The sequence below is a fragment of the Homo sapiens genome, chromosome 19, assembly GCF_000001405.40.
Source record: "Homo sapiens chromosome 19, GRCh38.p14 Primary Assembly".
Taxonomy (NCBI): domain Eukaryota; kingdom Metazoa; phylum Chordata; class Mammalia; order Primates; family Hominidae; genus Homo; species Homo sapiens.
In genome coordinates, this window is record NC_000019.10 from 999,580 (window position 1) to 1,021,126 (window position 21,547).

At 65.3% G+C, this 21,547-nt stretch overlaps 2 protein-coding genes across 11 annotated transcripts, besides 7 other annotated features; one reads left to right on the forward strand and one right to left on the reverse strand.

Annotated features, from left to right (window-relative positions):
• Positions 1 to 839: 839 nt before the first annotated feature.
• Positions 840 to 10,153, forward strand: GRIN3B (glutamate ionotropic receptor NMDA type subunit 3B). Its single transcript, NM_138690.3, has 9 exons — positions 840 to 1,284; positions 3,551 to 4,143; positions 4,942 to 5,974; positions 8,049 to 8,194; positions 8,277 to 8,392; positions 8,561 to 8,712; positions 9,039 to 9,203; positions 9,278 to 9,348; positions 9,594 to 10,153. Exons 1-9 carry the CDS (start codon positions 859 to 861, stop codon positions 10,021 to 10,023), a joined length of 3,132 nt encoding a protein of 1,043 aa, NP_619635.1. The 5' UTR covers positions 840 to 858; the 3' UTR covers positions 10,024 to 10,153.
• Positions 2,049 to 2,338: a silencer, noted in NCBI's record as "silent region_9648". NCBI's record gives its function as "represses an Ori minimal core promoter by ATAC-STARR-seq in GM12878 lymphoblastoid cells {active_cell/tissue: GM12878}" and the evidence as "EXISTENCE:reporter gene assay evidence [ECO:0000049][PMID:35858748]".
• Positions 9,950 to 10,140: a silencer, noted in NCBI's record as "fragment chr19:1009528-1009718 (GRCh37/hg19 assembly coordinates)". NCBI's record gives its function as "represses an EF-1alpha promoter that drives an FKBP-Casp9 reporter gene in an ReSE screen in phorbol 12-myristate 13-acetate-treated (for megakaryocytic differentiation) K562 erythroleukemia cells {active_cell/tissue: K562(+PMA)}" and the evidence as "EXISTENCE:reporter gene assay evidence [ECO:0000049][PMID:32094911]".
• Positions 10,074 to 21,544, reverse strand: TMEM259 (transmembrane protein 259). Of its 10 annotated transcripts, none has more exons than XM_024451773.2 (11): positions 21,193 to 21,544; positions 14,613 to 14,894; positions 13,662 to 13,761; positions 12,884 to 12,994; positions 12,487 to 12,609; positions 12,313 to 12,413; positions 12,162 to 12,219; positions 12,001 to 12,033; positions 11,788 to 11,920; positions 11,517 to 11,616; positions 10,074 to 11,316 (listed from the first exon to the last, which is right to left on the reverse strand). In XM_024451773.2, the coding sequence occupies exons 1-11, from the start codon at positions 21,415 to 21,417 to the stop codon at positions 10,771 to 10,773; spliced, it is 1,812 nt and encodes a 603-aa protein (XP_024307541.1). In that variant the 5' UTR covers positions 21,418 to 21,544; the 3' UTR covers positions 10,074 to 10,770. The 10 variants fall into 10 exon arrangements, with proteins under 10 accessions (XP_024307541.1, XP_047295616.1, NP_001028198.1 ...); XM_047439660.1 differs by having other exon boundaries at positions 11,412 to 11,616; NM_001033026.2 differs by having other exon boundaries at positions 12,001 to 12,084.
• Positions 15,156 to 15,689: an enhancer, noted in NCBI's record as "H3K27ac-H3K4me1 hESC enhancer chr19:1014734-1015267 (GRCh37/hg19 assembly coordinates)". NCBI's record gives its function as "activates a minimal SCP1, AML or CMV promoter by ChIP-STARR-seq in primed H9 embryonic stem cells {active_cell/tissue: H9 hESC(primed)}" and the evidence as "EXISTENCE:reporter gene assay evidence [ECO:0000049][PMID:30033119]".
• Positions 18,828 to 19,047: a silencer, noted in NCBI's record as "fragment chr19:1018406-1018625 (GRCh37/hg19 assembly coordinates)". NCBI's record gives its function as "represses an EF-1alpha promoter that drives an FKBP-Casp9 reporter gene in an ReSE screen in K562 erythroleukemia cells {active_cell/tissue: K562}" and the evidence as "EXISTENCE:reporter gene assay evidence [ECO:0000049][PMID:32094911]".
• Positions 19,431 to 20,030: an enhancer, noted in NCBI's record as "H3K27ac-H3K4me1 hESC enhancer chr19:1019009-1019608 (GRCh37/hg19 assembly coordinates)". NCBI's record gives its function as "activates a minimal SCP1, AML or CMV promoter by ChIP-STARR-seq in naive H9 embryonic stem cells {active_cell/tissue: H9 hESC(naive)}" and the evidence as "EXISTENCE:reporter gene assay evidence [ECO:0000049][PMID:30033119]".
• Positions 21,306 to 21,365: a silencer, noted in NCBI's record as "silent region_9649". NCBI's record gives its function as "represses an Ori minimal core promoter by ATAC-STARR-seq in GM12878 lymphoblastoid cells {active_cell/tissue: GM12878}" and the evidence as "EXISTENCE:reporter gene assay evidence [ECO:0000049][PMID:35858748]".
• Positions 21,396 to 21,465: a silencer, noted in NCBI's record as "silent region_9650". NCBI's record gives its function as "represses an Ori minimal core promoter by ATAC-STARR-seq in GM12878 lymphoblastoid cells {active_cell/tissue: GM12878}" and the evidence as "EXISTENCE:reporter gene assay evidence [ECO:0000049][PMID:35858748]".

The following is a 21,547-nucleotide window of genomic DNA, read 5'->3' on the forward strand; positions in this document are numbered from 1 at the left end:
TCTATAGGTTTCCATCAGACATGCCTGTCTCAGTTTCCCCAGGGTGCACTGGATGTTAGAACACACCCCTGGGCTGGCCTGGTTAGAAACTGACAGCTCCCTGGATGTGCGAGACAAGCAAGACCCTTCCTGGGCCTCAACTTCCCTGCCTGAGCAATGGTCGACATTGGTGGAAGGGGTCAGGGATCCTGGAGAGGAACGGGGTGGGCGTCCGGGCCAATTTTATTTTCTTATTTTATTTTATTTTTTTTGAGACGGAGCATCGCTCTGTCGCCCAGGCTGGAGTGCAGTGGCACGATCTCGGCTCACTACAACCTCCGCCTTCCAGGTTCAAGCGATTCTCCTGCCTCAGCCTCCCGAGTAGCTGGGATTACAGGCTCCCGCCACCACGCCCGGCTAATTTTTGTATTTTTAGTAGAGACGGGCTTTCACCATGTTGGCCAGGCTGGTCTCGAACTCCTGACTTCGTGATCTGCCCGCCTCGGCCTCCCAAAGTGCTGGGATGACAGGTGTGAACCACCGCGCCCGGCAAGTCGGGGCCAATTTTAAAGCGCAGTCTTTTCCTGGCACCTCCGTTCCATCTGTGGCCTGAATCAGAGCAGGGATGGGCAGTGGTTAGGCGTCCCCGGCCCCCGCCAGGTGTCACCGCCGCCGGCCTCAAACAACCACTGGGAGGCACTGTTTCCCCCCCATCCCGCCCTGGGCAGGGCACGTCCCACTCCCCCCGCGCGGTTGCTGGGAACCCGGAGGCCGCCCGGGCGGAGCGCGGAGGGCGCGTCGGAACCTGGCCGGGGCCCTCCACCCGCGCCGTGGTCCCGGTGGTTGCGCCCCGTGGCGAGCGACGCCGACAACTTTGCGATGGAGTTTGTGCGGGCGCTGTGGCTGGGCCTGGCGCTGGCGCTGGGGCCGGGGTCCGCGGGGGGCCACCCTCAGCCGTGCGGCGTCCTGGCGCGCCTCGGGGGCTCCGTGCGCCTGGGCGCCCTCCTGCCCCGCGCGCCTCTCGCCCGCGCCCGCGCCCGCGCCGCCCTGGCCCGGGCCGCCCTGGCGCCGCGGCTGCCGCACAACCTGAGCTTGGAGCTGGTGGTCGCCGCGCCCCCCGCCCGCGACCCCGCCTCGCTGACCCGCGGCCTGTGCCAGGCGCTGGTGCCTCCGGGCGTGGCGGCCCTGCTCGCCTTTCCCGAGGCTCGGCCCGAGCTGCTGCAGCTGCACTTCCTGGCGGCGGCCACCGAGACCCCCGTGCTCAGCCTGCTGCGGCGGGAGGCGCGCGCGCCCCTCGGAGCCCCGGTACGCGGGACGCCCGGAGTCAGGACGAGGGGGACCCGGGGCGGGAGCGGGGTCGGGAGCCCTGGGGACGTCCGGAGTCAGGATGGGGGTGCCGGGACTACGCAGGGAAGGGGGATCCCGGGACGCTGGACGGGCCCCAGGGATCAGGGATGGGGAAGACCCGGGTGTCCCCGGAGCAAGGAAACCAGAACCCAGAGGAAGAGACCCAGGGGCAGGGACCTAGACGCGGGGTTGAGAGCTCCAGGGACGCCCCTGGAACGCCCCTGCAGACCCCTTCCCAGCGCCCTGGTGATGGGGACCCCGCCACTGTGGCCTCTGCCCCTTCCTTGCCCAGGCCCCTTCCCTCCTTCCCCACAGACCCTTCCCTGGTCCCTGGGACCTCCTGGTCCCCACCCGGCTCTGGGTGGCTGGGCTGGAGGACAGGCGGTCTCCCTCCTCACTCTAGGGGTGCAGTTTCGGGGTCTGCAGGTCTGGATCTCCCTCCTTCCAGCATTCTCCCCGTCCCCTCCCAGAGGCCTCCAAGATCCCAGAGCAGCCTCCATCATTCCAACCCCGACTCCATTCCCACCCCCCAACCCCTGGCAGCCTTCAAGTTCCTCTCTTCTAACCCCACCCCAGGCCCAGATCCCGGGAGGAAACGGAAGAAGAGAAGGGCGATTGACTGGGTTCTGGGGTCCCTGTTGTCCCCCCCAACAGGGCTCACTGCGCCCCAGATAACAAGCCCCCTCCCGTGGCCAGCAAGGAGGTCCCAACTCCGGACATGGGCCTGGCTGAGCTCTATGCCCCAGCTGCCCCTCCTTCCCAACCCACTCAGAGGCCCCTCCAGCCCCTCCCTCTCCTCAGGGAGGGAGACCCTGACGCTAGAGGGGGGGTCTCTTAGCCCAGCTCTCCAGGTGTCAAGGGGACCCCTGTCCCCCCACCGCCCTAGGGCTGGTGGGAGAGGCGGGGCCCAAACCCAGGCCTGGGGCGCCCTCTGCTGCCGTCTCCAGGAGCTGCACCGCCGCAAGCCGGGGCGTGGGACCGACCTAGCGTCTTAGGGACTGGCTTGGCCCCCTGGGGACTGAGCCCCATCCCAAGCCCATCCTCCAGCACTGGGCACCCTGCTTCCACCCTGGGAAGCGCCCTGCCAACCCGAGGGGCCTGGCAAAGCTCTCCCACCTTTAATATACTAAGTTAAATCCAGGGCCGGGTGCGGTGGCTCACGCCTGGAATCCCAGCACTGTGGGAGCCCAAGGTGGGAGGACAGCTTGAGCTCAGGAGTTTGAGACCAGCCTGGGCAATATGGCGAGACCCCATCTCTACAAAAAATACAAAAATTAACTGGGCGTGGTGGTGGGTGCTTGTAATCCCAGCTACTCAGGATATATATATATTGGCTGGGCACTGTGGCTCACGCCTGTAATCCCTGCAGTTTGGGAGGCCGAGGCGGGCGGATCACGAGGTCAGGAGATCGAGACCATCCTGGCTAACATGGTGAAACCCCGTCTTTACTAAAAATACAAAAAAAAAAAAAAAAAAAAAAGCTGGGAGTGGTGGAGCTTGCAGTGAGCTGAGATCACGCCATTGCACTCCAGCCTGGGAGACAGAGCAAGACTCCATCTCAAAAAAAAAAAAAAAAAAATCCAGGAGAACTTTCTGGATGGCACTGGGCACAAGGGGGCCCCTCAGCCCTCCATGTGCCTGGCACGGGGCAGTAATGTGTGAAGGGGATGCTAGGGGAAGCTACCTGGTTTGGCTCTAAGCACAAGGCCATCGGTGGGCTCACCTTTATGAGCCACAGCTCTTGGCCCTAGAGGGGTTCCCAGGCAGGTGGGTGCCAGGTGAGGTCAGGACTGTAAAGGAATCAGGGAGGGACCTGAGGCTGGAGGCGTTCCAAGCTGGAGCCTGGGCTCTGCCTGGAGGATGGAGAAGTCTGAATAGAGGAGGAGCAATGTGCTTGGGTTTTGAAGGATGTGTAGGAGTTGGTGGGCATAGAGAGAGAAAGATATTCCATCCGGGGAATGGCACATGCAAAAAAAAAACAAAAAACACCAAGTGTGCCCATGACAAGGGTAGCTGGAGCCAAGAGAGGCTGGGAGACTGAGCTTTGTGGGGATGGTGATGGGGAACGATGGAAGGGTTTAGAGCAGGGCTGGGGCTGGGGGGAGGTGGAGGGGAGGTGCAGCCATCCAGCTGGCATCTACTTGCGGATCACCCGCTGCTGGGGTGGGAAGGGTTTTGTGGGGGTGGAGGTCGTCAACCCTAACCGTGGCCACCCCTCTCCCAGAACCCATTCCACCTGCAGCTGCACTGGGCCAGCCCCCTGGAGACGCTGCTGGATGTGCTGGTGGCGGTGCTGCAGGCGCACGCCTGGGAAGACGTCGGCCTGGCCCTGTGCCGCACTCAGGACCCCGGCGGCCTGGTGGCCCTCTGGACAAGCCGGGCTGGCCGGCCCCCACAGCTGGTCCTGGACCTAAGCCGGCGGGACACGGGAGATGCAGGACTGCGGGCACGCCTGGCCCCGATGGCGGCGCCAGTGGGGGGTGAAGCACCGGTACCCGCGGCGGTCCTCCTCGGCTGTGACATCGCCCGTGCCCGTCGGGTGCTGGAGGCCGTACCTCCCGGCCCCCACTGGCTGTTGGGGACACCACTGCCGCCCAAGGCCCTGCCCACCGCGGGGCTGCCACCAGGGCTGCTGGCGCTGGGCGAGGTGGCACGACCCCCGCTGGAGGCCGCCATCCATGACATTGTGCAACTGGTGGCCCGGGCGCTGGGCAGTGCGGCCCAGGTGCAGCCGAAGCGAGCCCTCCTCCCCGCCCCGGTCAACTGCGGGGACCTGCAGCCGGCCGGGCCCGAGTCCCCGGGGCGCTTCTTGGCACGGTGAGTGGGGACCCTGCTTCCCTTAGGAGGGTGTCCAGGCCACTGAGTCTGCACTGCTCATGGATCACAAAAGGCAACGTGAGGCCAGACGCGGTGGCTCACGCCTGTAATCCCAGCACTTCGGAAGGCCGAGGCGAGCGGATCACTTGAGCTCGGGAGTTTGAGACCAGCCCGGCCAACATGGTGAAACCCCATCTCTACCAAAAAATAGAAAACATTAGCTGGGCGTGGTGACACGCACCTGTAGTTCCAGCTACTCAGGAGGCTGAGATGAGAGAATCGCTTGAGCCTGTGAGGTCCAGGCTGCTGTGAGCTGAGATCGCACCACTGCACTCCAGCCTGGGCAACAGGGACCCTGTCTCAAACACACAAAGTCAGGATGCTTTGTTAGATGTCTTAGGTCCCCGGAAGCAGTGCCCACCTGGGGAACTATCTCAGGGACAGCAGAGAACGAGCTGAACAACTAGGAGGGAGGGAACGGGTCTCTGGCTGAGCCCTGGAGGAGTTCCTGAGAATGAACAACTCCTGGAAACAGGTGACCCCAGCTGGGTGCTTGTGTGTCAGTCACTGGCTTCAGGCGTATGTGGAGTGGGGGCACAGCCACGGCATCGGGCACGGATGCCCCGGGATCAAGGGGTTAGGCTTGGGGACTAGGCTTGGGGACACCAGGAGCGTCCACGTTTGTCCTCATGATACGGACAAGAGCGACCAGTGGGAATCGGGCACGTGCTGGGCAGGGGTGAGAGGATGGAGGGGTGTGAACTTCGACACCTGACACCCCCCCCGCCCTGCCCCTAGGTTCCTGGCCAACACGTCCTTCCAGGGCCGCACGGGCCCCGTGTGGGTGACAGGCAGCTCCCAGGTACACATGTCTCGGCACTTTAAGGTGTGGAGCCTTCGCCGGGACCCACGGGGCGCCCCGGCCTGGGCCACGGTGGGCAGCTGGCGGGACGGCCAGCTGGACTTGGAACCGGGAGGTGCCTCTGCACGGCCCCCGCCCCCACAGGGTGCCCAGGTCTGGCCCAAGCTGCGTGTGGTAACGCTGTTGGAACACCCATTTGTGTTTGCCCGTGATCCAGACGAAGACGGGCAGTGCCCAGCGGGGCAGCTGTGCCTGGACCCTGGCACCAACGACTCGGCCACCCTGGACGCACTGTTCGCCGCGCTGGCCAACGGCTCAGCGCCCCGTGCCCTGCGCAAGTGCTGCTACGGCTACTGCATTGACCTGCTGGAGCGGCTGGCGGAGGACACGCCCTTCGACTTCGAGCTGTACCTCGTGGGTGACGGCAAGTACGGCGCCCTGCGGGACGGCCGCTGGACCGGCCTGGTCGGGGACCTGCTGGCCGGCCGGGCCCACATGGCGGTCACCAGCTTCAGTATCAACTCCGCCCGCTCACAGGTGGTGGACTTCACCAGCCCCTTCTTCTCCACCAGCCTGGGCATCATGGTGCGGGCACGGGACACGGCCTCACCCATCGGTGCCTTTATGTGGCCCCTGCACTGGTCCACGTGGCTGGGCGTCTTTGCGGCCCTGCACCTCACCGCGCTCTTCCTCACCGTGTACGAGTGGCGTAGCCCCTACGGCCTCACGCCACGTGGCCGCAACCGCAGCACCGTCTTCTCCTACTCCTCAGCCCTCAACCTGTGCTACGCCATCCTCTTCAGACGCACCGTGTCCAGCAAGACGCCCAAGTGCCCCACGGGCCGCCTGCTCATGAACCTCTGGGCCATCTTCTGCCTGCTGGTGCTGTCCAGCTACACGGCCAACCTGGCTGCCGTCATGGTCGGGGACAAGACCTTCGAGGAGCTGTCGGGGATCCACGACCCCAAGGTGGGCGGCCTCGGGGGGCTGCGGGTGGCCTTGGGGGGCTAGCGGTGGCCCCGGGCTGGGCTGTGTGGGGCAGGGGTGGTCAGCTGGACGTGGAGGACGTCCACTAGGCCAACTCTGGTCCCAAGAGACATTTATTCAATTAATTTATTTATTTAAAGAAAAATAGCCGGGCGCGGTGGCTCACGCCTGTAATCCCAGCACTTTGGGAGACCAAGGCAGGCAGATCACCTGAAGTCAGGAGTCTCGAACTGGAGCCTGGCCAACATGGTGAAACCCCATCTTTACTAAAAAATACAAAGAATTAGCTGAGCATGGTGGTGGGCACCTGTAATCCCAGCTACTCGGGAGGCTGAGGCAGGAGAATCACTTGAACCCAGGAGGCGGAGGTTGCAGTGAATCAAGATGGCACCATTGCACTCTAGCCTGGGCAACAGAGCAAGACTCCGTCTCAAAAAACAAAAAACAAAACAAAAAACACAGAGATGGGGGGCTGGCTATGTTGTTCAGGCTGGTCTCAAACGCCGGGGCTCAAGCAGTTCTCCCACCTTGGCCTCCCAAAGTGCTGGGATTACAGGCGTGAGCCACCGCATCCAGCCTATTTTTCTTTTCTTTTTTGAGACAGTCTTGCTCCATCGCCCAGGCTGGAGCGCAGTGGCACGATCTTGGCTCACTGCAACCTCTGCCTCCTGGGCTCAAGCGATTCTCCTGCCTCAGCCTCCCAAGTAGCTGGGATTACAGGTGTGCACCACCAAGCCTGGCTTTTGTATTTTCAGTAGAGTTGGCGGGTTTCACCATGTTGGCCAGGCTGGTCTCGAACCCCTGACCTCGTGATCCGCCCACCTCGGCCTCCCAAGTGCTGGGATCACAGGTGTGAGCCACCACATCTGGCCCGTATTATTATTATTTTTTTTTGAGACAGAGTCTCACTCTTGCCCAGAGCTGGAGTGCAGTGATCTCAGCTCACCGCAACCTCCACCTCCCAGGTTCAAGCAATTCTCCTGCCTCAGCCTCCCACAGTGCTGGGATTAGACGTGAGCCATCGTGCCCGGCCTCCCCTTGTAATTTCTTGGCAAAGTCGGGTTTTCTGCCCCGTAGTGTCTCTGAACTTTTGGATCTGCCCAGTGGTGTCCCCTGGGGGTGCCTGGCCTGCTCCCCAGCCCCTGGTGTCCCCTGTGAAACGGTAGTAAAGCGTAGACGCCATGCTGTCAGGTGAGCCGACTGCTGCCGGCGGCTCTTCCAATGTAAACGCTGCACAGCTGAGCCGTCAAAGCCTTTTCATCATACGGAAACTTCCATCAGATGCTGCTGACCCACAGGCACGATGGGATTCAAGTTTGGGTTTTTGGTGGTGCTGGAATCCCGTGGGGAGGCCGTGGCTGGTGTGACCTCAGCAGCCAGACCCACCTACTCATTAGGGGTCTGCACCAGGTTGCCCTGGCAGCTGTGGGGAGAACAGACCACGGGTGGTGCAGGGAGGACCCCGCAGAGGGGCCTGGGCTGGTCGAGGATGTTGATGGGGAAGGAGGCTGGGTTCGACGCTGGGCCCCAACCTGGGTAGGAGCTGTGGAGGGGTGAGCAGTGGGCAGTTCCCTGTGTTGCAGGTGGCGCCCCCCAGGGTTTTCGGGAGAAACAGGGTGTCAGAGGCAGTGACGACAGAGCTGCCTCCGCCTGGGGTGGGAAGAGCGAGTGGGGGCAGATCAGGAGTGGGGTCATGGACATGTTAGAGTGGGGCTCCCGTGGGACCCCCAGGGGAGAGGCAGAGGAGGTGGTGGGATAGGCGTCCAGCCCAGGGCGAGGTCCAGGTGGAGATGGACTTGCCGGCGTTTAGAACAGAGGGTCTCCACCCGGGGTGATCCTGCCCCCCGCCCCAGGGGACCCTGGACAGTGTGTGTCTAGAGACAGCTGTGGTGGTCACGCCTGGGGTGTGCTCTGGGCATGGAGTGGGTGGAGGCCAGGAATGCAGCCTCGGCGCCCTGCAGTGCCCAGGACGGCCCCACCCCGGAGAACGGCGCGCCCCTCAATGGTCAGGGGTCCTGAGGGGCAGGCAGAGGCGCTGACGGGGTCCCCCGCGCAGCTGCACCACCCGGCGCAGGGCTTCCGCTTCGGCACCGTGTGGGAGAGCAGCGCCGAGGCGTACATCAAGAAGAGCTTCCCCGACATGCACGCACACATGCGGCGCCACAGCGCGCCCACCACGCCCCGCGGCGTCGCCATGCTCACGTGAGCCCGGGCGCGGGGTGAGGCGGGGGCGGGGCGTGGGGTGGGCGGGGCGATGGCTGACCCCCGCCCCCGGCCCCAGCAGGAGCGACCCCCCCAAGCTCAACGCCTTCATCATGGACAAGTCGCTCCTGGACTACGAGGTCTCCATCGACGCCGACTGCAAACTGCTGACCGTGGGAAAGCCCTTCGCCATTGAGGGTGAGAGGCACCTGGGCGAGGCGGGGCGCCGGGGTCTCTGGGGACCTCCTGGGGGCAGTGGGGAGCCACGGAGGGTTCGAGGTGGGAAGGGGCGAAATCCCACGTGTGCGGGCAGAGTTCCCCTGGGGCTGTCCCACCTGGCCCCACCGCCTGGCCCCGCGCCCCCAGGCTATGGGATCGGACTGCCCCAGAACTCGCCGCTCACCTCCAACCTGTCCGAGTTCATCAGCCGCTACAAGTCCTCCGGCTTCATCGACCTGCTCCACGACAAGTGGTACAAGATGGTGCCTTGCGGCAAGCGGGTCTTTGCGGTTACAGAGGTGGGGCAGGGCCTGGGACAGAGGGTGGGGGTGGGGGTGGGCGTGGGGGGCCCTGAGCCTTGTCTGAAGTGACCAACCCCAGTGCTCATTCCCCAGACGTGCGTTTGTCTGCTTCTGCGCACTTCTATTCACCCTACAAAACCCCGGCTGCAGTGCCCCTTCCTCCATGAAACCTCACTCCCCCCAGCCATGGAGTCCCTGCCTCCCAACCTGGCTCCACTGCCCCAAGCCCCTCTCTCTGGCCCAACCTGTTCTCCCCTAGTTCAAGGCTCCCCAGGGGCCTGCCATTACGTGACCGTGCGGGGCTCCTGCTGTGTTGCCCCCAGACCCTGCAGATGAGCATCTACCACTTCGCGGGCCTCTTCGTGTTGCTGTGCCTGGGCCTGGGCAGCGCTCTGCTCAGCTCGCTGGGCGAGCACGCCTTCTTCCGCCTGGCGCTGCCGCGCATCCGCAAGGGGAGCAGGCTGCAGTACTGGCTGCACACCAGCCAGGTGGGGAGCGGGTGGGCGGCGGGCGGCCCCACCCCCCCCGCCTCCTCGCCAACCGGGTCTGTCTGGGGTCTTAGAAAATCCACCGCGCCCTCAACACGGAGCCACCAGAGGGGTCGAAGGAGGAGACGGCAGAGGCGGAGCCCAGGTAAGTGGTGGTCGGGGCGGACCACGATGCAGGACCACCCAGACCCACCACCCCACCAGCTCGCCCCGAAGCCGGCCGCGGGGTGCAGGAGGTTCCCGGAGGTCCCCCGCCCACCCCCGGACGTGCACACCGTGGCTCCCTGGTTGTGCCTGTCGGCCATCCTCTGCCGTCAGCGGCCTCTGCAGAGGCCCAGGGCGCGAGACGGCTGCCCCGGCGGACACTGACCAGGCCGGTTCCGTCCCCAGCGGCCCCGAGGTGGAGCAGCAGCAGCAGCAGCAGGACCAGCCAACGGCTCCGGAGGGCTGGAAACGGGCGCGCCGGGCCGTGGACAAGGAGCGCCGCGTGCGCTTCCTGCTGGAGCCCGCCGTGGTTGTGGCACCCGAAGCGGACGCGGAGGCGGAGGCTGCGCCGCGAGAGGGCCCCGTCTGGCTGTGCTCCTACGGCCGCCCGCCCGCCGCAAGGCCCACGGGGGCCCCCCAGCCCGGGGAGCTGCAGGAGCTGGAGCGCCGCATCGAAGTCGCGCGTGAGCGGCTCCGCCAGGCCCTGGTGCGGCGCGGCCAGCTCCTGGCACAGCTCGGGGACAGCGCACGTCACCGGCCTCGGCGCTTGCTTCAGGCCAGAGCGGCCCCCGCGGAGGCCCCACCACACTCTGGCCGACCGGGGAGCCAGGAATGAGGCGGCAGCCGGGCCGTTTGGGCTCAAGACACACACACAGCGCAGTGAGCCGCTGTCAACAGACAGTTTATTCTATATACAAACACAATTTTGTACACTGCAATTAAATAGAATGGAATGAGCGCTCCTCCGCATTCCTCCCCGAGTGACTGGTTTGGCCGCCGGCCCACTCCATCCCCGAGTGGGACTGGACCACGGCCCTGGCTGCTGCCACTGATGTTGGCGCCTGCACCCCACGTCCCTATGCCCGAGGCGCAAGCTCTGCTCTCCCGGGGACCCCAAGCCTGGCGCACACGCGGGGAGGGCGGGGCCATGGAGAAGGCACTGCAGGGAGCACCAGGCAGAGCCGGGCTGAGGCCGGCCGGCACTAGGGCGCGAGGCCCCACCCCAAGCCGGCCTCTCCTCCACACCTCCGCCTTGCTCAGAGACCTGCACCATGGGACCCCACTCCATCCTCAGGACGGTTCACTGCAGACCTACCAAGACCCCTCCAGAACCTTCCGCGGAACCCCACCCCCTCTCCTTGCTGACCAGCTCAAACACCTCACTAGCGGGTACAAGCCTCGGGCGCGACCTCACACCAGGGGGAGGAAAGCCGCCTTCCGGGCAAACCCCACGAAACCCTGAAAGCCCCCGACACAGGCTGGGCAGTCCCAGAGGAAGGAGGTGGCTGGCCTCCCCCACCCCCACGGGCTCGGGAAGGTCAGGCCCAGCCAGCAGGGGTCAGAGGCGGCTCAGCTGTGCGGCTCAGGACCCCACCTCCGAGGGCGCCTCCGTTGGGGCCATGGAGGCCGGGCTAGGCCCGCCTACCGCAGCCCCCAGGGGAGTTGTGTCAGAAGCTGCGGAGTCACTCGGGGGGACACTGTCCTGGGGGGCGTGGGGGAGGCCCCCAGCAGGGCCCAGCGGGCTGGCTGGACGCCGCTCCAGGAGGGAGGCGCTCAGGCCGGACAGGAAGGAGGCGTCTGTGATGATGGCAGCGGTCTCTGCCATCCAACCCAGGTCACCACCGGCAGCTGCTGCCACTGAGGCTGCCGCGGCCACCAGGGAGCTGGGCGCCGCTGCCACAGGCCCGGGACTCCCGCTGGCCCCAGGCGAGACGGGGCCCAGGGCGGGGGGCTGGCCGGCAGAGTCAGGGGCTGTAGCCGGGGCGCCCGAGTTGTTGTTCATGTCATCGGGCAGCGCCGTGGGGGTCCCGGGGCCCAGTGGCGGCGCCTGAAGCAGCATCTCCTGGATGCGGACCTGCTGCAGGATGGCAGGCAGCTCGTAGTGGTGGAAGAAGTAGATCATGGAATGCTGCGGGAGGGAGAGTGGGAGTCAGGACGGGCCCGCCCCTGCCCCACCCAGCCGCTGCTCCCAGAGGGCAGCCCACCCGGGACCATCCACGCTACCTCTGCCCGCTTGGGCCGACCCCACAGGGCATCCTCCCCGGCTGCAGCCTCTCCTGCCTGGAAAGGCACGGCTGGCCTGCCCCCTGCTTGCCGCCCAGGCCTCACCTGGATGAAGAGCCAGGAGGTGACCAGGGCCAGGCTGCTATACTGCCCATTGAAGCGGTAGTGATAGGCATAGAAGGCGAAGTGGTAGAGATAGAAGAACCTGCGGGGCGGGGTGAGGGCGTCGGGGCTGCAGGTCCCACCCTGCCAGGCCCAGCCCCTGGGGTTCCCGCGTGGCGCAGCCACCACCCCCGCCTCCAGCGCCCCTCCCTCTGGCAGCCCCCTACCCCTGCCCACCAGCACCCACTCCACCCTGCCCCCGCGCCACGCTCACCGCAGCCAATGCCGCTTGCTGGTGCTGGTGTGGCAGCAGATGGCGTCATACTGGTCCGCGAGCCACACGATGAGGATGATGTAGAAGGCGGTGGTGGTGTCGTTGAAGAACTCCGACATGATGGCCTCCATCCCTGCAGGGAGAGGCGGCGCCGGTTGAAGCGGGCGGGGCGGGGTGCAGCGCGGGGCGGGGGAGGCCGGGTGGGGTCCTCACCGACGAGGGCCAGGATGACGGTCAGCAGGGGCGCTGCGGGGAAGGCGATGGCCATGTTCATCTCCAGCATCTGCAGCAGGTCCACTGCGGGCACAGGGCGGCGGGCGCCCGGTGAGGGCCTGGAGGACGCCCGCCCCGCCCTGCGCCGGCGGGACACTCACCGATGAAGACGAAGATCTGGTGGTGTGAGTACCGCAGCAGCATGGACACGCTCAGCGTCTGCAAGGGGCGCGCAGGAAGCGCTATGAGGGGCTGCGAGGGCCTGCTTGGCTCCCGCCCGGCCAGCCCCCGCACCCGCCCCGAGGCACTCACGAAGATGACCATGATGGCGAAGGCGGCCAGGTAGGACGTCCGCGCCATCCACATGCTCACAAAGCGGTAGTGCTCGCCCGACACCACATTCCGCAGGAAGCCTGCAGCAGAAGGAGCCGTGAGCGCCCGCCCCCACCCGCGCCCTCGCACCCTCGGCCCCGGGGCATGCCTCACCCTTGTTCTCCTCGTTCTCGGCCAGGCCCTTCACGCTGGACATGAGGATGTCATCGTAGCCCAGGAACTCATCCAGCAGCAGGCGGCTGAAGCGGTCCCCGAAGCACTGGTCCCGCGTGGGGTCTGCGGGTGGGTGAATCAGGGAGCCGGGAGCCCCGCCCAGGCCACCCCCTGGGCCCTGCCCCAGCTGGCTCCATTGCTGAGGCCTGGCCTGCTTCCTGGCCCTGCCCATTCTTAGGAAACCCATCCAGGACCCCAGCCCTGGGAAGCGTGCCTGGGGCGGGGCAGACCCCAGTGCTTCCTGCACAGCCCCCCGTCCCGCACCAGCAGGAGGAGACCCGAGGGAGGAGGGGAGGCCCCGCCATGGAGCTCCCCAAGCCCAGCAGCTCAGACTCACCCAGGGTGACCACCATGACGGGGATGCTCAGGCGCTGGCGGGTGGCCTGCGACAGGCGAAGGAAGCCATACTCTAGTGAGTACTCCACGATGTACTCGTCCTGCGGCCACACTGCAGGGCAGAACCAGGGACCAGGTCAGCGCCCCCACACACGTCCCCCGCCCACTGCCAGCAGGCAAGGCAGGCGTTGAGGGGTGGAGGGTGAGACCTGCTGAGCCCTGGGCCCCAGGTGGGTGCTGGGAGGACCCCTACATGGACACTTGGGATGGTGCCCACTCAAGCTGGTGTCCTGCCCTGTGCACTGCAGAGGCTGGCCAGGCTCCTCCTCCCGTGGCCCCCTCTCCCTGGCTGGGGCTGGCTGGGTGCAGGGCTGCCCCACTGCCCTGGCGGCCCCCAGCACACCCCCAACACTTCAGAGGCCCCGGCCCTCTGGATAGACCCTCTGCTGCCAGATGGGCAGGGGTGGGGGCGGGGGCGGGGGCTTCCCTGAGCACAGCCCGCTAGAACTCTGAGCTCAGAGCCGAAGGGATCCATCCCCTCCAAGTCGCCGTTCACGAGGATCCCAGAAAGGATGAGCTGAGCCAGTTACCCCAGGCTCTGGGGTGTCCCCACAGCCTCCTGTGCTGACAGATGGGGAAATCGAGGCACGGGGGTGCCCTCAACGGTCCAGGACATGCAGCCAGCAGGCTGGGGATGTTCGGAGGGACCCCGCCTGCACCCCAGCACCCCATGACTGAGGCAACCCCGTGAGGCAGTACACCTTTGGTGGGTGGCCTACCTTTGGTGGGCGTCTCGGGGAAGGGGAACTCCTGGCTGTCATTCAGGGCCTCTGTGCTACTCGGCGGCTTGAACACCTTGGGCTCGATGTCCAGCTCAAACTGTGGGCGACCAGGGACCTGGGTGTCAGCAGCGCCAGCCCGGGCTGTGAGGGCCCAGCCTGAGGATACAGTCCTGCTAATGGGAAGGGACTGGAAGCCTCAGCCTCTGCCCCACCACTGACCAGGCCAGGGTGGACTACGTGTGCCTCCCGCCTCAGCTGGGACCCCACCTCAACACCAAGCCTGCCCTGCTGTGAGGCCATCTCCAGCACAGCTCTGAATCCTGAAGCTGAGGCAAGGGCCAGCTACAGGCAGTAGACCCCATGGAAGGGTCCATGATGCTCTGCCCAAACACTCAAACTCTTGGGGTTGGCTCTGTGGGAACAGGTGGGACCCCAAACCCTGACTGCTGAAGCAAAAACATCTCCCACCAGGCTGTGGGGCCCAACACAGCCACCTGGTCCCACCAGTGCCCAAGGCCACCACAAGCTGACCGGGAACCCAGCACCTCTGCAGGCAGTGGGGCCACCTCAGGACGGCCAGGATGGGCCCAGAGCTCTTAGCTTTCAGCCCCCAGGCCTCCTCAGCTATTGCTGCCCACTGCATCCCCAGCCCCAGCCAATCCCCTCCCCGGAACAGCTACTCTCAAAGGCCCGAGTCTGCCCAGCCCAAGTCCTCCCCGAGATCCCCCTGCCCTGCCCAGGCCTCTAGCAGGGCGACAGGCCGAGGGTCTTGCTTCAGAGCCCCCAGGCCACCAAAAGGCCACGGCAGGCAGGGGCGGCCTTGTCTGCATGCCAGGTCCCTGAAAGTCAAGAACCCCAACATCCTGTCGATGTCAGGAACCGCCCCTTCAGCGACCAGCATCTACGGGGCGCTGGCCTCTGCTGCAGCTGAGCCCAGGCCTGGCTCACCTTGATGGAGCTGTTCCCAAACATCTCCATGGTCAGCTCTTCCTCCTCCTCATCTTCCATGTCCAGGTTGCTGCCTGGTTCCACGGCCAGGCCCGGGAAGCTCCCGCGGCCGCCGCTGTCACAGAACTGTAGGAAGACGGGCGCGCGGCTCGAGTTGTGCCGCACTTCCACACGCAGGATGCCCTCACGCGGCCACTTGTCACGCACATGCTCCAGGCAGTTGATGGGCGAGCGGGAGAAGACGATGTGGATGTAGGCCAGGACGAAGAGCACAAACAGGGCCTAGGGGGCGGCCGGCAGTCAGTGGGGCGCCCCAGGGCCAGCTGCAGCCGACACCCAAGGGCCTACGTGATGGGGCGTGATGGGGCGCGCTGGGACGCCCAGGACGGGGAAAGGAAGGAAACCCCAGAAGCCGAATTGGGCTCTGAGGACCCTGGGTCCCTCCCACGCTGACTGCACCGGGCCAGCCCCTCACATAGTCCAAGTGACTGAGGATCCGGGGGACGCCCCACTCCAACCCCGGAGGGGCTCTGCCACCTGCAGCCCGGCTCTGACAGGCCCTGGGGCTTCGGCAAGGCCTGTGACTGCCCCGCACCTCCTCAGGGGTGAGCCGGACGAAGCCAGCAGGCCGGGGCCCTCTCAGATGCACACAGGACCCCCCAAACCTGGGAGGAGACGAGGCTGGACTCAGACCCACCAAGTGGAGCACACCAGGGCCCTCTGCCAGCCAACGGCTCCCGCCCTGCAAGCAGCAGCATGGGTGTTGCCGCCACCCCAGGGCCACCAGCTGGACCCACTGTCTACGAAAGAGGGCACAGCCCTCCACAGCCCAACCTGCTGCTTCCTGCCTCACCTTCCGCTGCGTCCCCAGCACTCCCCTGATCTCACCACCTGAAAATAGCTTCTCTCACCTGGCGGGGCGCCCTGTGCAACCCTCCCAGGCCTGGCGGGGCCAGCCGCAGCTGCTGGGGACACAGTGGACCTCCGTGGCTGGGCAGAGCGCCCCACGGCAGGGCGAGGCTGCCGTGCCCGAGGCACAACCTATGAACTGGGGTGCCAGCAGCTCTCACCTGGGGGCTCCTGCCCAGGGGATGCTTGGGACATCTGTGGTTGTCACAATTGGGGGAGCTCCTGGCATGGAGTGGGTGAGGCCAGGGATGCTGCTCGGCACCCCGCAGTGCCCAGGACGGCCCCACCCCGACGTCCACAGGGCTTGGGGAGCCCACGCCCCAGCGTGCTGCAGGCACAACTCAGAGTGGGGCCCCTCTAGGGGCAGTTCAGGGCAGCCCCTCTTCCAGGGAGCCCGCCTCACCGTCTGGCGGTTTGGCTGCCCACTGTACCTCCCAACCTGAGGTCCAGGCATCACCCCCGAGCCTGGTGAGGGTCACGTCTACCTGCTGCCCCGATCCGCAAAACTGAGGACCCAGCTGGGCCAAGGGGGCGCCCACGGCCACATGGAACCCCAGACTCTCAGGGAAGAATTGATCAGACTCAAAATCACAAGCCAGAGAGCCTGGAGCACAGGGCCCCTCCGTGACCCGTGACCTGCTGGCAGGTGCACCAATGCCCGGGGTGCAGTGAGCCACCTGTGGCCGCACAGCCATAGGCAAGACCACCAGGAGCCTCAACTCTTCCACGCCCACAGTGAGCTGGGGCCTCCTCTCCAGAACCCTCTGTAGACTGAGCAAAGGGCCGAGTCAGCAAAGCAACCCACTTCCAGCCCGGCCGCAGTGCTGTGACCTGTGGGAGGCCCTGAGTCTGAGCACGGATAAAGCCCTGGGTCTAGCCGCACGTGCACCTGGGGCGAGCCCCATCACACTCCCCAGCCCCAGGAGCTGGAGAATCCCTTGGGCTGATCTGAACTGCATTTCTAGTCCTTACAGCCAAAAGAGCCGCAGGGGATGAAGGCTGGCCCGGCGCTGAGATTTAAGCAGAAACAGGCAAGAGCAGAACCCTGACCGCCAGGCATTCAGGCCCCGCCCACAGACGCCGGAGCTACAAATGAGGGGTGGGCGGGGGGAGGGGGCAGGGCCCTCTGCTGGGGAGGGTTCCCCTGTGTCCTGGGGAAGACAGGGAGGGCAGTGTGGAAGGGGGGCAGCCCCGGAGCCTGAGATGCTTTCAAAGCCTAGCGTTTCCCCATATGGCATCTGGGGACAGGAGCCACGGAGGCTGGGCCCAGTGGTGGGTCACGGTCAGAGACACTGACCCCACAGCCCCTCGGCTCAGCACTCTCAGGAGAGAGGGGCCCGCGAGGCCCATGGTGGATGCTGCTGGTGGCCACGCTCTGCCTTCCAGGCCCACACATCCAGCAGGAGCTGTGCCCAGGACAGCAATGGACCCTGTGCCAAGATGTTCCAAAAAGTGCTGATACACAGTGGGCCGAGGTCGGGGCTGTCCAACGCTTCACAAGGGACGCACGGCTGTTACCATCCCTGGTTTATATACGAGGAACTGACACAGAGGTCCCGACAGACCTGGACCTGCTGAGGTCACATGGCCAGGAGGGAGGGGCCAGGGCAGTGCCAGTCTGCACAATTAAGGCCCCACGGGGAAGAGCAGCTCCTGGGGTTGCCCTGGGCAGGGTCAGCTTGGTCCAGGGTCAGCGGGAGAGGGCACAGGACACACATCCTGCCACACCCAGCACTGGTGTGAGTGACCCGTCCCATGAAGACAGCGGACGTGATGAGAGGGCACCAGTGTTTTCACACAATGTGCACACACTCCAGTCAAAGACTTCAAGTCCACCAGACGCTATGACTCAGACGTCACTGTGTCTCTGCCCCATCAGGTGCTCCGTGCTGACCGAGCTCAGGGCCCCTCTTCCCTGACTGAGCATGACCAGAAAAATGCCCCACTGGACAAGGCCCGTTGCCGCCAAAGCCTCAGCTCCCCTTCAGTCTCCCACCACAAAACAAGGAGCAGGCACCACCCAGCCAGACGCAGGCTCATCCCGAGTCCCGGGTCCTCCTCCCCAAGACCTGTCTGTCATCAGCCACCCTGCAGCAGCCACCTCACCAGGCCCGGCCCTGAGCCACACGCCCAGGCAGCCTCGTCCACGCCCACAGTAACCCTCCCCAGGGAGCTCACCTGCAAATGCTCCCATGGGCCCCTGGCCACCCTCTGCCCGCAACCTGGCTCAGCCACTCGCATGCCCTGGGTGGTCCAGTCCCCTACACTCCATGACCCTGTCCCTGACCCAGGCTCCCCAGCAGGCACCCACATGCTCCAGCCCCACGGCCTTCCCACACGCTCTCCAGCTGCCTGGACACCCCACCCCATCCCACTGGCTGTGGCTCACCTCCAGGAGGCCCTGCCCACCCAGCACAGGAGTCACCCCACCCCTATGACCCTTCCTTCCTCCGGGTCAGCCCACACACGGCTGCACCCACAGGAGCACCTCCCCCAGCCTGGGGCCGTGCTCACCGCCTCCTCCAGGAAGCTTCCTGGATGTTCTGGCCGAGGCTCTCAGGGCACCCCAACACTCGGCCACTGGGTGGGCCTTTCCTTTCCTGTCTCCCCACAGACCTGGAGTGCCAGGAGCAGCCTGCCCGCTCTCTGGGTATTTGACTGACCCACAGACCGACGGACACACAAGCCCGCGGAGCCACACTCTCCTCCCAGGTGGGACACAGAGCCCTCAGCCCCAGCCAGGAAACACTACCTGGGGCTCCCCTTTGTCCACCCGGGGTGCTTCCTGCCTCCAGGCCACCGGGGCCTCTCCTTCCACTGCAGCCTCACAGTGGCCTCAATGTGACAGGTCCCCCATTCAGAGCAGGGCCCCTGGGGTCTCACATACCCCGTCTTTAATCGTCACGACCCCACAAGAGGAGCCCCATTACTCCCTGTGGCTAGGCGCGGGCCCCTGCCCATGTCCAGGGGTGCTGAGTCGAGACCCCTTCACCCTGTGGGCATCCACTTGGTGGTCACCTGGGTCCAGAGCCCAACCGCACAGGTGCAGGCACCCAGTGCCCCAAGATGGACAGTCTCTGCCACACTGGGCTCAGGGCCATGAAGGCCAGCAGAGGTGGATACTGAGGCTGGATGGAGGTCTCCCGAGGGCCCCTGGAACACAGGCCCCTGCCGCCTCCTCTCTCCCCAGCACCTGGCACTGCCTGGCATTTCCTAAAGCCACCCAGGCATGGATGAGGGACCGGGGGGCTCCATGCTGGCTCAGAGCTGGGAGATCCTGGCATTTCCTAAAGCCACCCAGGCATGGGTGAGAGCTGGGGGACTCCATGCCAGCTCAGGGCTGGGAGCTCAGCTGCACAGATGCCACAGGATGAAGCCACCTTGAAGGGATCATACCAGGGAGGACCTGGCTCTCTGCAGGGAGACCCCCGGAAGCCAGGCAGGCAGGAAGCAGAGGAGCCTTCTGGAACTCAAGGCAGCCTCTGAAATCAGGCAGTTCCAGCCTGCACTTTGCAGATAAGTAAAAGTGAAGGCAGCAGGGTCAGATTCTGTGCCACCAGATTACCGGGTGGAAAATTCACAAAGAACAGATTTCCCCACCCAGGCCAGGCATGGTGGCTCACGCCTGTAATCCCAGCCTTTTGGGAGGCCGAGGCGGGCAGATCACCTGAAATCAGCAGTTTGAGACCAGCCTAGCCAACATGGCAAAACCCAGTCTCTACTAAAAAGACAAAAAAATTAGCCGGTTGTGATGGTGGGCACCGGTAATCCTAGCTACTCCGCAGGCTGAGGCAGAAGAATTGCTTGAACCCAGGAGGTGGAGTTTGCAGTGAGCCGAGATCAAACCACTGCACTCCAGCCTGGGTGACAGAGCAAGACTCCATCTCAAAAAAAAAAAAAAAAAAATTCACCACCCAGAGATCTCACAGTCCAAAGCCCTCTGCTGAGAGAGGAGGGATTGGGGTTACTGAGAACCTCCCAAGAGTCTCCACCCTACACAGAAGACGGGGAACTCCAGCTCTGGCCCAGCCCCATCTGACCACCTGTGAGTGGTATTGGCCTGGAGATGGAGCCGGGTAGGCTTGATCCCTTTCCAAACCGGGACATGGTGGGACCAGGGCCCAGGCGACAGGGATGCACCTCCCAAGGAGGCTGAGCTCCGTCGGGGGAACCTGGCCTGGCACCCAGCACACACCCTCCACAAGCCTAAGGACACAGTGGCTCCATCCTGTTCCCAGGCTACTCCATGGAAGGAAAACCCACGTCCACAGACCAGCCTCCGTCCACAGTTTCAGGCCCCGTCTGTGGACCCCAGAGCCGGGAAAGGCCGCCTGCCTGCGTAACCCTTCACAGCCCTGCTCAGGTGCCTACTGAGGCGACCATGCCACTCTGGGGGGCTGCAGGGAGGAAGGTGGGAAGGATGATGGGCTGAGCTCTGGCCTGGGGAGGCACGGATCTGGAGGCTGGGGGGCCTTCCGTGAAGTGGCAGCAGGCTGGGACCCACACCCAGGTCCGCAGGACGGCCAAGGTCCAGCTCCACTTGCCGAGCCCAAAAAAGCAGCCAGCTCCTGACCAACCTGTGTCAGGCTGGGAACTTGCCCACGATCGCAGCCTGGCCCGCCAGCATCGGACCCCTCTTTGCAGGCTAGATCCAAAAAGCTCACGGCGCAACTTCAGCAGCCCCCAAGCCCCGGCGCGGCGGTGTTCTGATGCAGAACGAAAACGGCCACGTCCCCATTTCGCCAGGTGGCCCAGGACCCCGGCCAGCTTGTTTTCTGAGGGGCTGCAGCTGCTACTGAGCCCCTCTTGTCACCCAAGCAAGACTCCTTCTCAGAGGGAGTCAGGCCGATGCCTGTCCTGCACGGCTGAGACCTCTGCCATCTGAGGAGGGCGGGAGGGGGACAGAGCCCAAGACGCGGAGGCCGGTGCCTCATAGGGGAGGCACGGGCGACAGACCCACAACCTGAGCTCCTGAAGCAGGAAGGGAGTGGGGACCCAGCGGAGGAAGAGGCCGGGGATGGGGTGGTACGCTGCTGCCGGTGACTTTGCCGCTAACCCTAGCGAGGTGACCTCAGCTAAGTCACATTCCCCTGAGGCTCAGGAGCGGGGAACGCAGCTGAAAGGCTACAAGGAGGGAGAGAGGGGAGTGGGGAGTCGACTTCCAGGACAGGGGTTGGTCCGAGGGAGACCTGCGTCAGGCTGGGTTCTGGGCCAGCACATTGGGAGGGGAGAGAGGCCTCGGAACTGAGGGTCTCAGGCGGCACAGTCAGGGGTCAAAGGGCGGGAGGTGCTACCTCGCAGGCCAGGACCGGACTCCAAGCCTGGGTAGGTGGGGACCTGGGAAAGGCGGTCGCCGGGGACAGGATGGGCCCTGGAGGGAGCTGACAGTGAGGTTTCCAGAGTAGAGAACAGCGGCTTCTAGTGCAGCGGGATCCGGCCTTCCCGGGTGGACGTCCCCGGGCGGGATGGGGTCACGAGACGGTGTCCCTGGCCAATCCCAGGGTCAGAGGTCGCGAGGGAGAGCCCTAATCGGTAGGGCCGGGTATAGGCCTCAGGGTGCAGGGTGGCGCTCGCTGTCCCCAGCGGGGCCAGGGGTCGCGGTCGGAGGTAGCAGACTTGGGGGTCGGGACAGCCGCTGGGGTCAAGGGTCGGGGGTCGGGGCCGCGGTCACCTTGAGCAGCACGAAGAACTCGAAGAGACGGCGGAAGGCGGGCGGGAAGAGCCGCGAATAGGTGACAGCCATCTTGAAGAACAGCGCGTGGAAGAGCCGGTCGCGCACGTTGATGAGGGGGTTGGGGTTGAGATTGGGGGTGCGAGGCCCGCGCGCGGGGGCCGGGCCGCCGCCGCCGCCGTTGGGCCCGGGCCCCGGAGCTGCGGGCTCCACGTGCTCCGACATGCCTCCCAGCGTCGCGCCCTAACGACCCGCAAGTGTCCGAGGGCGCCTCCCGGCCGCCATCGGCCGCCCTCGCAGCCGCCGCTCTCCTCACGGCCTCCCGGCCGCCGCCGCCATCTTCCGCTTTCTCGTC

Bases quoted from the DNA above. Each gene is read 5' to 3' on its own strand.
- TMEM259 (XM_005259675.4), bottom strand. From the start codon at position 21,417: ATGTCGGAGCACGTGGAGCCCGCAGCTCCGGGGCCCGGGCCCAACGGC. The intron at 12,220-12,312 runs GTGAGTGCCTCG...CGCCCCTTGCAG, and splicing joins TCGCCATCATGGTCATCTTC to ACGCTGAGCGTGTCCATGCT. The intron at 12,085-12,161 runs GTGAGTGTCCCG...CTGTGCCCGCAG, and splicing joins CCAGATCTTCGTCTTCATCG to TGGACCTGCTGCAGATGCTG.
- GRIN3B (NM_138690.3), top strand. From the start codon at position 859: ATGGAGTTTGTGCGGGCGCTGTGGCTGGGCCTGGCGCTGGCGCTGGGG. The intron at 1,285-3,550 runs GTACGCGGGACG...CCCCTCTCCCAG, and splicing joins GCGCGCCCCTCGGAGCCCCG to AACCCATTCCACCTGCAGCT. The intron at 8,195-8,276 runs GTGAGCCCGGGC...CGGCCCCAGCAG, and splicing joins CGCGGCGTCGCCATGCTCAC to GAGCGACCCCCCCAAGCTCA.